This window comes from Homo sapiens, chromosome 6, assembly GCF_000001405.40.
Source record: "Homo sapiens chromosome 6, GRCh38.p14 Primary Assembly".
Classification (NCBI taxonomy): domain Eukaryota; kingdom Metazoa; phylum Chordata; class Mammalia; order Primates; family Hominidae; genus Homo; species Homo sapiens.
In genome coordinates, this window is record NC_000006.12 from 150,628,115 (window position 1) to 150,641,759 (window position 13,645).

At 41.1% G+C, this 13,645-nt stretch overlaps 1 protein-coding gene across 9 annotated transcripts in view, besides 4 other annotated features; it reads left to right on the plus strand.

The window, feature by feature from the left end:
- PLEKHG1 (pleckstrin homology and RhoGEF domain containing G1) overlaps positions 1–13,645 on the plus strand; it is a 243,781-nt gene that overhangs the window by 28,230 nt on the left and 201,906 nt on the right. For 3 of the 9 annotated variants that reach the window (NR_138138.2, NR_138139.2, NM_001329804.2), the window contains exon 2: positions 9,966–10,011. The exons of 5 other annotated variants lie outside the window; for them this stretch is intronic. The gene's annotated coding sequence lies outside the window, so the exon portion shown is untranslated. Of the gene's footprint in view, positions 1–4,849; positions 5,191–9,965; positions 10,012–13,645 lie in introns of those variants that run through there. One more of the 9 variants, NR_138140.2, reaches the window with a different exon arrangement.
- Positions 3,818–3,897: an enhancer, noted in NCBI's record as "active region_25273". NCBI's record gives its function as "activates an Ori minimal core promoter by ATAC-STARR-seq in GM12878 lymphoblastoid cells {active_cell/tissue: GM12878}" and the evidence as "EXISTENCE:reporter gene assay evidence [ECO:0000049][PMID:35858748]".
- Positions 5,205–5,334: an enhancer, noted in NCBI's record as "active region_25274". NCBI's record gives its function as "activates an Ori minimal core promoter by ATAC-STARR-seq in GM12878 lymphoblastoid cells {active_cell/tissue: GM12878}" and the evidence as "EXISTENCE:reporter gene assay evidence [ECO:0000049][PMID:35858748]".
- Positions 5,365–5,414: an enhancer, noted in NCBI's record as "active region_25275". NCBI's record gives its function as "activates an Ori minimal core promoter by ATAC-STARR-seq in GM12878 lymphoblastoid cells {active_cell/tissue: GM12878}" and the evidence as "EXISTENCE:reporter gene assay evidence [ECO:0000049][PMID:35858748]".
- Positions 8,780–8,999: an enhancer, noted in NCBI's record as "active region_25276". NCBI's record gives its function as "activates an Ori minimal core promoter by ATAC-STARR-seq in GM12878 lymphoblastoid cells {active_cell/tissue: GM12878}" and the evidence as "EXISTENCE:reporter gene assay evidence [ECO:0000049][PMID:35858748]".

Genomic DNA, 13,645 nt, shown 5'->3' on the forward strand with positions numbered 1-13,645 from the left:
CAGATTGAACTCCAAGTGAATGTTTTAAAGGTTTGGTAATACTGACATGATTGTCAGAGGGAAGGCTGTTGCTGCAGTAAAACTGGCAATGAAGCAATGATTTAAGCATGTGAACTCCCACTTCCAGAGCTTTGAAATGTTATATGTTTCTGGTTGTTTTCTGCCCTGAGTGGAATTTTCTGTTTTACTGTAAATTGCTGCTGCTGTTTAATATGTGTATATTTTTCTTGGTATAAATTTCAAAGAGGATGTTGACCCAGTAGAAAACCCCTTCACTGTAAGAAGAGCAGAAAGTGGCAGCATTCCACACATAGGACTGCAGTCCTGGTTTCTCTTTAGATTCCTTTGAGATCAATTTTCAAAGAGTCCTCAGCAAATGGACATTTGTTTTGGGATGGTATGTAGATAGGAAAACACACACACACACACACACACACACACACACACACACACACACACACACCCCGTCCTTGCCCTCCTGCACTGAACCCTCTATATCTGGATTAAGTATTAACTTGACTTGAGTGAAAGGACTCAGGGTTGAATTCATTTAGTTAAATGGAGTTGGTTAATATTCTGCCCGTACTATTAATGATGTTATAATCTAGCAGAGAGGATAAACAATTGCACAAATTACAGTATTCATTGTACTATCCTGTAGAATAAGAACCTGTGTTGTAGTAATAGCCCCAGGTAATTCACTGGTTAGAGAAGCACTACTCCAGGTAAGAATGTAGTGCTGTCATCCACATGCAAAGATAATGAGGCTTTGCAGAGGACTGGAATGCAATGGAAATAGAGAAGTTCATCCACGAGCAAGTGAGTGTGTGCATATGTGGGATTTGGGGAAGGGGACCTGATGAGAGAGAAGAAACTGAGGGTTCTAGCCTGGAAGACTAGACCTCCATTGGCCACAGTGGAATAAACAGCCATGGAGCCTGTTTGGGTGTAAAGGGTAGGATTCGCCAGCAGCAGTTTAGAGTGAGAGATGACTTTGGTACACACAGGTGGTGTGTACTTTGGCCAGTCTGAAATAAAGGATTGGACAGAGGAACACATTGCTGCTTGAAGCGATGCTTCTCACAGCCATTTGACAGTATCTGTCAAGGCCTCGAAGGGACTCTTTGACTCATTTTTCGGATATACCCTAAAGAAATAAACCTTTCTGGACACCAGATTCTACATTGCGGCAACATTTAAACCTAAAGCCTCAACACTAGAGGGTTGGATAAGTTATGGAATATTCATACAAGGAACTATTATATGCAATTAAGATTTCCCTATAGCAATGATAAAATTAAAACCTTTAAGACATGTGACAAAGGAAAGGACAAAACCAACAGAAAACCATCCTTTTTTTTTTTGAGATGGATTCTTGCTCTGTTGCCCAGGCTGGAGTGCAGTGGCGCAATCTCGGCTTACTGCAACCTCCGCCTCCCGGGTTCAAGTGATTCTCCTACCTCAGTCTCCCAAGTAGCTGGGACTACAGGCACGCGGCATCACGCCCAGCTAATTTTTGTATTTTTAGTAGAGAGGAGGTTTCACCATATTGGCCAGGATGGTCTCGATCTCCTGACCTCATGATCCGCCTGCCTCGGTCTCCCAAAGTGCTGGGATTACAGGCGTGAGCCACTGCACCTGGCTGAATCATCCATTTTTTAAAAATCTATACTTCATAGATTTTCTATGATGTATTTCCTTTGATGACAAGAAATCAGACCAAAATAATAATGATAATTAGTTATCTTTGAACTTTCATACTTTGATTTTTATTTTATTTATACTTTTCTGTATTTTGGGAGATTTTCATATTTTTCAAGGTTTCTACAATTAGACAAAGAATATTTTATTTATAAAGTAAAAGTTAAAGATATTTATCTGGGCAGCCTTTTCCTAGCAAGTGTGATGGAGGCCATAGACTATTTCACAGGGGATTACTGGTGATGCCATTCTTTATATTTGAACGGTACTGCCCACAGTGCTCTCTTTAAAGCAGTTTGTACCTTGTTCAGCAGGGAGGCCAGTACATGGAAAGAATGGTACCTGGGGAATAGGTCCTGGTTAAAACATTGACTTTACTCTGGTTGTGATGGGAAGCCCCTGGTGGAATTTGAACCCAGGAGTGCTGTGATATTGTATATGAGCAGAATTACTTTAGCTTCTTTGCGGAGAATCAGTGCTGGGGAGGCATGCATATAGGCAAGGAGATCAGTGGCCAGGAGGTGACTGTACCAGTCCAGCTGAGAGCTGATGGGATCTGGGATCAGGGTGAAAACTGAAGAAGTGGTGAACCATGGTTGAGTGTCTGCTGAGAGTGCAGCCCACAGGGTTTGTGGATGGCTTAGTTGTGGGGCATTGGAAAGAAAAAAGATAAGGGATGAAGCCAAGGATATTATCCTGAATATCTGAGTACAGTTGACACCATTTTCTGAGGTTGTGAATATGGGAAAAGCAGGTTAGCAACGGGGAGAAACTGAGAATTATGCTTTGGCTACGCTAGGTCTGAAAGATGCATCTCAACTTTAAGTGGTGATGCCAGGTAGGTACGTGGATGTGTGAACCTGGTGCTCAGGAGAGGGGGCCGGTGTGGAAATACACACCTGAGAACTATCAGCAAATCAATGATATTTACAATCACCGGGCTAGATGAGGTATCAGAGTGAGATAGAGAAGAGGTCAGGAGGCTGATCTCAGGGCACCCCAGCACTTGGAAGATTCGGCCCAGGAAATGGGGAAGGAGCTGCCAGCAAGGAAGGAAAGCCAGGAGCCCATGGCTTTCCAGAAGCTCAGTGGAGAATGTGCATCCTAGCAGCTGGAAAGTAAAGACAAGGAGAGTCGATCATTGGATTTTGCAGTGAGAAGGTCATTGGTGGCCTTGATAAACCGTTTCGATGGAGTGGAGGGGGCCAAAGTCTGATGATCCTTCTTAGAAGGGAATGCTAAAGCTGAAGCTCTCAAAGATTTGAGCAAATACTGTGGAAGAGTAAGAGAGCCAAGAAAATCTATGCCCAGGAATCCACAAGCTCACTTGTGGAGCAGAGGTTTCTGCATCTTCTGTGGCTGTGTCATCTCAAGGCTTCTAGATCCTCCAGCCTGTTTGAAATAAATATATACAGCAGCTCCAATTTTTCAATTCCTGTCTCTCTCTCTCTCAATCTGTGTCTTTGAATTAAAACCACGAAACCAGTTCCACCTTTTTTCCATCCAGCACCCTCCTCCCCAGGTCTGCGTTTTAGGCAGCTTTTCAGGTGATGGACAGACAGGACTGTGGGGAGTGATGCAATGGGTGCTGCTGTCCTTTGGGGGACACCCCATCCCCTACACACAGGGAGTATTAGGACCTTGAAAGCCCAGCATGACAGCCACACCTTACACCTAGTGGAGTCGGACAGAGTCTTGTGGCTTGGACGCTGATCATAACAGAAGCATCTTTAGGTCAATATGCTGGAAGTAACTGAACAACACTGTGCAGTTCAGTTACCTGTAGGAAAACTTGCAGTAAGACTTGTAGGAAAATAAAAGTTCTAACCTTGCATTTCAGAACTCTTCTTTACCTGCTACAGTGGATTCGGGGGTTCCCCTTCCCCTTGCTGGCAACCGCTCCCCACCTACAGATGCTTCAGAGCATCCGTAGAGCACGGTTGGGTTCCCAAGGAGGGGAACAGAGGGTAGGACAGAGCTGGGGGAGGAGAAGAGGATGTGGGCTAGTGGAGGGCTGCGAGCAAGTAAGGAGAAGCCCCAGGGAACTGGGCATGGGGAACTGGGCATCAGGCTTTCTAGCGGCCTCCTTCCTGCTAGTGCTGTCCTGCCCCGGGGGCTGGCTGGCTGCTTCCTCGGCCACTGCCACCAACCTGTCCACCAGAGCTTCTAGGCTTTCTGGCCTTCTGAGAGAACAGTCTCACAACTTCAGGACTCTGGTTCCTACAACAAGCACGCGGCATTTGGCATTTTCTGAAGAATTTTTGCTACAAGTAGCAAAAGGTCAACAGTTTAAAATTTGCTCCTAAAAATGTGCATGTCGTAATGTTCAGTGAAAAAAGGAAAAGGTCAGAGTACACGAAATTGTTTAATCTCCATTCTCTATTATAAACACACAAGCAAAGCTGGAAGAAATCACCAGGGTATGGGCCACGATTGTCTCTGGCTTACAAGTGATGGTTTTTCCTTGCTTTTCTTTATTCTCTGGACTTTTTTTAACAGTAGGGAGTTGTGATTTTTATAACTTGAAAAGTAAATGTAAAGATTTCTTCCAAAGTTTGTCTTTTTGTCTGCTTTTATCATCGGCCTTGGCCAACCGGACACACCTAGGGCTGCTCTCAGGGCCTTGGGTGTCTATGGAGGACAGTCAGACTTGGTGGCCTGGGCCTTGGTCCTGGGCAAGGTGGGCAGGTTGGAGAGGCCCCCAGGCGAGTGTTGCCTGCATTGGCCATACCCCTCTACCTGGCCTCTCCCGCTTCCTCCATGCCCTGTTCTCAACAGGATGGCAGGAACACATGCAGGCTGGTAACAAATGTCCTAGGGCCATTATTCAGGAGCAAAAAACAAAGGAGAGAATAATTTCACAAACATCTATTCTTACATGGGCAGTCTTGGTGACAGGATACTGATAGTTAAAAGACAAGGAATGGGTAATTGAGGAGAACTTTAACTTCAAGTGATGTTTTAAAGAATACTTTATAAGACCTTCTGCCGTGAAATGATACATGTCACTAATCGCTGGTTTAATTTGCCAAAAAGTTTCTGGGGAAACGAGCTTGAGGATCAAAGACTAAAATTTGCATATATGTCTAGTATGATTTCATTTGAATTTCCCCTTTCTAACTTAGCTGATATTTTGCTAATGACTTCTGTAGTTTCGCTTTTAAAACTGTTCTGTGAAAATACCTTATGCAGTGCTTTCTTAAAAGCCCCATTTGTTTACTTTTACTAAGCTGAAAGCACACTTTACGTCTGGGAGCAACCAAATAACAGATTTGCTCTCCTTTGAGGACTCATCATTCAGTTAAACATTTTTGAATAATGACAGTGGGTCTTGGGTTTCAAAGATGAGACCCAATTTCTGCACTTGAGGAAACCACAGGTCTAATCGGAGGGCAACAGTGTCATCTGGAAGTGCCGGCTCAGGGATGCCGTCCTGACGGAAGTCATGAATGCTGGAAGTGGGTCTCGCAGGGTGAGAGGAGTCACCAGGTAAAGATGGGTTGGAAGGACCTGGCAGGCAGAGCAGGGAGCAGGACCCCAGTCCAGGGCAGCAGGGAAGCGGGAGTCTGGGCAGAGCTGATTCCAGGCAGCTCAGTATTGCTGGCCTGTGCATCCTGAGACTTATCCGAGTCGCAGGTGAAGCTGGTGGGAATCAGGCAGAGTGCAGAGCTTTAGCTGGGGCAGGGTTAGCCAAGAGCCTGTCATGGAGCTGCTCTCTGGGCACTGGGAAACATAAGTCTGGAGGCTTTGGCTGCAGCTGCAGATAAAGATGCAGGGGCCTCTGACGATGGGGGCCTTAGTCATCTCAGAGGTGGTGCAGAGGGTAGAAGCCTGACTGGGGTCAGAGATGAGGAAGGAGAGGGTCAGAAACAGTGATTCTAAACCAATTTGGTTGAGGCAGAAGATACTAATGGCCGAGGGGAGGAGAGAGGGAGCGTAGGCTCTAAAGGGGAAGCTTGTTAGGAATGATCCATTGTATCATCCTCCGTGGAGGCTGAGAGTCAGTGCAGAGGGTGAGTTTGGATGTATGGGAGGCAGCAGTGAATGGCCGAGATGGAGAGTGCTGGTGACCAGGTTGCCCCTCCACAGTTCTGACTGTCCCTTTTCTGTACCTGAGGGAGGAGGGGAAAAAGAGTGAAGTTGAGGCTGGGCGTGGTGGCTCAGGCCTGTAATCCCAGCACTTTGGGAGGCCGAGGCAGGCGAATCACCTGAGATCAGGAGTTGGAGACCAGCCTGACCTACATAGAGAAACCCCGTCTCTACTAACAACAACAAAAAAAAATCCGGGCGTGGTGGCAGGTGCCTGTAATCCCAGCTACTCTGGAGGCTGAGGCAGGAGAATCACTTGAACCCAGGAGGCAGAGGTTGCAGTGAGCTGAGATCGAGCCATTGCACTCCAGCCTGGCCAACAAGAGCAAAACTCGATCTCCCCCCCAAAAAAAAAAAAGAAAAAAAGAGGAAGAAGAAAAAAAAAAGAACTGTGATCAAGCAGCCACATGGGAGGTAGAAAATAATATGAGAATGTAGTAAAATATGTGGCCTAGGGTAGGCTAGGAGAGCTTGATGGAGTTGGAGAAATTTTAAAGCAGTAGTTGGGGAGAAAAAGGATGGGAAGCTCAGGAGGCACATAGTATGCCCTCAGTATGTTATCCAGTGCCACACTGACTTCCACAAGAAAACCACACTCAAGACTAACTTGAAAAGTGCATAGAGGTCAGAAACTCAGCTTTGGGATAAAGCATTTTTTGTAAAGAATTAAGTGAATAAAAATAAACATCTAAAATATTTCAACTGAAAGAAAAAATAGATTCCCCATTATTAGAGCCAATGGTTTAAATTCAGACATATGGAAAAATTTAATTTTCAATTCCAGGCTTTAAGCCTAATTCTGGAAGAAAACCCATTAAAGTAATGAAGTAATAAAACAATTGAACAATAAATCTTGATTTTGTAGAGAACAGAACAAATGCTTGGAGATACGTCATCATTTTCATGCTTGTGGATTCATACAGACACCAGCATCTTTGCCTAAAAGTTACAAGGCTGTGGTTTGTAGCCGACCTCAGAGTAGGAGTGGGTAGGAATTTACAGGATGTTATTCTTCCAAGAAGAGTTGGGAGCATTTTTGGGGGATGTAGAAACTTAAAACAATCCAGGTGTTGAAGTAGTTAAGGGACTCTTTTTCTGGAAAAATAATTAGTTCTCAAACCTGTTTAATTTGAATATTCAATAGAGCTATCACCAGGAACCAAAGGAAATGAAAATGAGGGACAGATATGGTTCCTACCCTTCACGGGCTTATCACAGAATGCTTTGACTTTCACACAAATGTTTTACATCATTTCATTACCTTTACTCCAGCACATTCCAATTAGCCTCCTGGCAAGCAAGTAAATTGCAGCTTTCACAGACTTTTTTTCTTTTTAAATTTTGTTTTTGGAGTTGTGGAGACTGTGCTGCAAATTTTGCTCTTGATAAATGACATTGAAATGTTTTTAATGCCCCGAGATAATGAATGGGAATCTTAATAGTCTTCTAATTAAAATGAAAAATAGAAAAGTCATGAGTGGACATTTTAGGAGTGTAGTTCTGTTGTTTCTTGTTTTGGAATTTGTGGATACACTAAGTGTAATTTGTAATTAAAAACAATTGGGAAACAAGCATCTACTTTGAGCTAATTTTGTTCTTCTTAATGTTTCTAATCTCAGCTGTCTTCACTTATAGGACAATATCTGAGCTTACCTGGAGCCACATTTATAAAACATTATTTTCATAAGTTCAATTATATTAGTTATTATCACATGCATTTCCAGTGAGCTGTGTATGTGGCATTTTTTGGTTTTCTTAGTTGCTAGACTCTGGATTTTTAAGATAATTGATTTAACAACTTTTCAGGGAGCATAAATAAACTGTTAAATGTTCATGTTAATTATAAGCTACATCCTGATTTCAGGTATGTTTTTAAAACACTGTGTATCTTAAAAAAACGAAACCTGATAGAATTGCAGTGATCTGGCCAGGACTCGTCAAGCAGTTAAATATATTAAGGCCCCTGGTTTCATGCACTGTACAACACTCATAATGGGTGTTGATTATATGCTTGGTAACTAGTGGCTTACAGAAAGCAGGACTATGGGCTTTTTGTATTTTGAATTTAAAATAAATATTGTATCTTTTGGGTGTTAACAGAGGCATTTTTGAGTTGAAGGGTATGAAACAATTATTATCTTTATGGTGAGTTACTATTTGCAGATAAGTTAATGGCTTCCTGTGCAAATAACTGTGGAGTCAGCATACCTAAGACTTGAGTTTTCTCTAAAGAAAAAAACATTGTATCTATAGATACCTCTTCAGGGTCATTACACAAACTTCAAAGTATTAATGCTCATGAAAAGACCTCTATTTTGAATTTTTTCTATAAGTAACAGTTTTGCCATAAAATGGCCAGATCATTGTATGTAACTCATGACTTTTTTTAAAAAAAAAAGCTAGTGTAACACATGACACACACAGCCACACCTTTTGAGAGGGAGAGAGAAACAGCATTGTGTCTTTTGAGCCGTTCTGACGTGGATGAACTCTGGTTTCTCCAGCAGTAGCTGTGGTGGCAATGTGGAATATAAATGGCTTATTACTGTAATTAACGTGGCTCAGTTGGTCCCTTTTTTTTTTCTGTTTTTTGGTTCACTAGGGTCTTCTTCTTGTCCTTTTCTGTGATCATTCATCCTTCACAAGAGTACAGACATGGCCCCTGGACAGGAGAGCAGACCTTCCTTTCCTTGGTTTGTTTATACCCTTGCTTTCATATCAGAGTTTAGATAAAAATCTCTTATTTAATTATTTTTAGTTGGCTTCACATGTTTGGAGTTCTAGGTTGTTCTCATTTTGAAATATTCTCTGTTAGAAGTTAGATACCTTGTGAATAAGAGTTGACCCATTGTGCTCTAAGTGGATGTATTGTTTTAAAAATCTAAAGTTTGGAAAGGGTGAAATCAAATATAAAAAACTTATTCCTCAAGTACAGTCACTGCTAACAGTTGCTATATTTGTCTTGTCTCCAACTTATTTCTTTTCTAAAGCATCTATTGAACCTTGGTCTGAAAAATGACATTAGCATCCTTTATTCATTTCTTCTACCCTATGACTAAGATGTCAAACTAGTCCTGGTTTACACAGGACTTTCCCAGTTTTAGCTCTGAAAGTCCCATATGCGGGAACCCCCTTGGTCCCAAGAGGGTCTGTCACCCTACTCATGACCTCCCAATTAGCTAGACTCTGCCTATTACAGTGTCACAGTTAATACACTTATTTCTTATTTCTATAGCCAAACTATGAATATGTTTTTTGTTTTGTCTCTGAGTGGCTTCTGAAAACCTAAAGCCATTATGCAAATATTATTCACTGCGGAGCCGAGTAATAGAATTAGATCCATAGAGAAAGAACTCCCATCGTGGGTCATGAAATTTTGCCACTTGAAGGAGATTTTCCCAGTAGCTTCACTTCTTTATAGACATTTCTCTGCTTTGGGGTTATATTTAGCTTTTACTGTTTTTTGTTTGTTTGTTTGTTTTTGGGTTTTTTTTTTTACTTTTTTAATTTCATGTCATCCTCTTCCTTAGATTCCTTTTTTCATTTGGTAGGCTCCTCCCTTTGAGTAACTTTTGATGTATAATATGCATAGATGGTAAGCACTGTTATTGCATGTTTGAAAATGTCTGATTTTGCTTTCACACTTGATTATTTCAGTCTAGATTCAAAATTATTGTTTCTGAACTTTGAAGGCATTGCACCTCTGATACCTACAATCTAGTGTAGCCAATAAGTCTGATGTTAGACTTACGACATAGTTGATTGTGTGTGTGAGTGTGTGTGTGTCTTTTTACCTCTTTGAACCATATAGGACTTTTTGCTTTATCCTTAGTTCTAAAATTTCACCACTATCTTTTTGTCATCGGTCCTTTTATTTTTGAGCTTTACTATCTGAAGTCTTCTCTAGCTTAGGATATTTTCTCCCCACTAATATTAATGTATCTTCACCTAGAAATCGAGTAGGTGGATTTTAGGCCTCTTGAAAGCGATTCTTTATTATTTTCCTTCTCTTTGTTTTTTATTGTATGTATTAGAGATTTCCTTGGCTTAAATTTTCCAGCCTACTGAATGAGGGCTTAGCCATATAAATGCTATCATTTAGTCCATTAGATTTATATTTTGGCACTTACTTGTTTAAAATCTGAGCGCTTTCTCATTCTTGTTATTCTTTCCAGGAAAGGAGAGTGAATATCTATGGATATTGCCCTGGCCCTTAAGAAGGTATTGTTCTTCAAAGATGATCTTCTTGGATTGCTTAGAATTTTTATTTTCCAGCATCAGAAGCACATACTGAATTTATTAAATTTTAGATAGAATGTATTTCTGTTTTCCACCAAGGCCGCAGCTCCGGCTAAGTTAGGTGTCTTATGGCTCCCTGGAATAATTTAGTCTTTCCTACCTCCTGTGCTCTCATGTCGTTTTTTAATGTGTTTCCTTCCATCTCCCAAGTCTTCTGTAAAAGCTAGTCCAATTGCCCTCCTTCCACCTCAAGTACACAGAAGGTTCTGGAACACCACCCCTCCCCCTACCACTCAGCCAGAAGCTGATTTTTTCCTAACATTCATTGACCCTTGCTTGAACCTTTCTTCTCATTGCCCCTCCCTCTCTTGCCAGGGTCACTCCTGCTAGTGTAGAATTTCTGAAATGAAGGTAAATAAAGGTGTCAAGAGGACAAGAAAATTCCCAAACATGAGAGGGAGAGGATGGAGAGTTCTGGGGGCAGGTAGAAGCCCCCTTGCCAGGTACCCCTTGTGTAACAATTGCTGTTCAGTGGTGGGGAGCTTACATTTCTGCCTCTTACCTAAAAACTTAATTAAACTGAAACTTAATTTCTCAAATTATTTTATGTTCCAAAAATCAGTTCTAAGTCAAAACTGGTGAATAGATGACCAAAATAGAAGCTATTAGAATTCTCTTTATATAGCAGGGAATAGAATTATATAACCTGGATGCATTCCTGAAATTTCTTTGTGGTTTGGCTTCAGTAAATTACTACTTTACCTACAGCTTTAAAAGTATATTTAGACTTAAGTTTAAAGAGTGATAACCACATGTGTAAACATCATTGAATACCATTCTTTTAATGAGTGGGGAATGTTATTTATATTCTGTCTTCACTTCCTCTGGAAAGCCCATTTCTTTTGGGAAGGCTTTAACTTATATTGTACTCACCTTAGAAAGTGAAAAGAATTCACTTTAGTATATTTTAACCCAGCCACAAAATTTTCACTGTTGCTGCTGAGAACCGCTTGGCCCCAATCTCTGAGTACAGTGTTTTAAAATTGAACTGTCTTAAAATAGCAAGACAATATATATGCCACTAGAATAGAGGATGGGTATGTTTAAGGGATTCAAATAACCCTTATTAATGCATTAATTTTTAAAAATGCTATATATTTCTCTATTTTTCTTTTTTAATTTTTAAGAAATTGACAATGAACATATTCATGGAATACATAATGATGTTCATCATCTGCAACATTTATCATTTTTTTGTGTTTGGAATATTCAGTATCCTTCTAGCTATTTGGAACTACGTATTATTGTTAATTACAGTCATCCTCTGGTGATCTAGAACACTAGAATTTATTCATCCTGTCTAGCTGTAATTTTATGTCCTTTAACAAATCTGTTCCTATCCTTTTTTTTTTTTATTTTGAAAAACAATTTTGCAGTTAGTATTTCAATGAGACAATGAAGCAGGCAGGTGAGTGGGAACCGATGACCAAGAGCTTCCTGGGCTGGCCTGAAGAGTCTGGGCTCATCTACATAGTGATGGGGACCATGGGAAGGATTGAAGCAAAGAACTCCATATGATCATGTTTATCGTGTAGCTGTCAGGGTGCAAGTAGACTGGGAGGCAGACCAGAGGGGAGGTCTTGTGTAATGCATGTCGGAAAGCAATGGAGCCATGGACCAGGCAGGAATTATGGTTCCTGTTCAATTCTGAACTTTTATTCTGTATCAATGATGCTGCCATTAGACTAATTTGCTGGTTATTTTATAAAGAGTCCTTTTAGGGCTAGAAGGGACCTCGGAGGTTTCTACGCAACTCTGTCATTTTGTAAATGGAAAAACCCTAAGGCCTAAAGAAGTGAAATGACTCCTCCAAGTCGGACAGCTCCTTAATAGCAGATCTTGGCCTTGGGCCCAAATCTTTCGATTCCAAAGCCACTGCTTTCCCTGTAGGGTTACCCATCTGGCCCTACCTGCTGTCTGCTAAGCACATGCCCAGGCCGGCGTCCCGCCAGTAGGACCGATCACCTGATTGTTGATGGTGCAGAATGTGATATTGACAGACTTTCTATTTTTTTTCTAGTCAGCTCATGACTGACTCTCCTAAATGACTTAATTATAATTTTCCCAACTCTTCCCAAATGCGCAGGCTTGCCCAACTTTTTCAGAAGATGATCTTGACTTTTACTTCTCCGAGCAAATAGAAATCACTTGAGAACACACAGGGCCATGGCCTGCCACCACATCTACCAAGAACCATCATGTTCCTGCCTTTGTCATAACAGCAAACGTGTCCCCATCTTAATTAACACTGGTCCCTGGGTCCTCATTCTTCCTGTATTTTCAGGGATGCTTTGGCTTACTCTTCCTTTTTCAGTATTTTCTACCCCTTCCTCTCTAAAAGATCTATCTTGTCACCATTTATATATCATCCGGACTCTCCCACGCAAAACCCTGCTTGGAATACCCACACCACGCTAGCTCTTTCTACTTCCCTCCTCTCAGGCCTTGTGTAAGATACATGGTGTTTCACTCGTCGCCCTGAACTGTTTCCACTTTAGCCCTTACAATTTCCCAAAACTGCTCTCACTGACCTCATGCCACTAAATCCAGTGAGCACATTCTGCTTGGTTATTCATTTAACAATTATTTGTGAGCATCTGCCATGTGCTGGGCATCGGGCATGCTGTGGTACACAGAGAAATGGGGTCTCCTGTGGTCTAATATTGGGGACAGATGTTAAAGAAATACCTATAGTTGCTGAATATTTAGATCAGAAAGTGCAAATCTAACTAATTTTATGGCAGGAGTACTATATGTCAGTTGTTTAGTGGGCACTAAATGTCAGTTTCATAGTGAAAAACTTGTGGCTAGAGAATGCTCTAGCTTATCTGTGCACTACAAGTGTCCTGCCCTTTGATCTGGGCTTAACTCCACACACAGCCAAATGCCCCCACTATTAGAGGCTCTTTTACGTTTTATGTAGTGAAGATATCTTGGCTGAACATGCACATAAACAGAATCTGGAGAAATATTACTCTGTTCATGGAGTTAGAAACTAGAAACCATACATATCTATATTCTAAATAAAATTATTCTAAAATAAACAAGTTTAATATAGTCTAAACTGGCAAGATAGATTGACGAAAACCCTGATGGTTTCTGTGAAGGAAAGCAAAAATATTGTGCAAAAGAGATGATCTGTGAAGTTCAGACTCTATGAAAGATTTTTGAAATGGTAATCATATTCAGTTTTGAACCATTTTAAGATCAGCAAAATAACCGTGTAAGCACATGTTAGATATGCTAATGAAGGTTTAGTGAAAGTAAAAGTTTTCTCAAGTCCGGATTGAAAATGGCAAGGTGTTTCTGCATATGTCAGTTGTCTCTCTTACTTTCCTCATGGGCTACAATATTCAATATGAACAGTTCCCCTTTTTTTAGAAGTAAAAATGGTCCATGTTAGCAAAACCAAAGATTTCCAGGAAGTGCTGGTGGCTGTGGTGCTGTGGAACGTGTGGATGAATAAATCACTGTTTGGTAGTAAGTGTAAAACGTTTTATTGGAAGCCAGCCCTTCGTATCCATGTTTCCTTTTTCCCTCCCCTGAAACTGAAAGC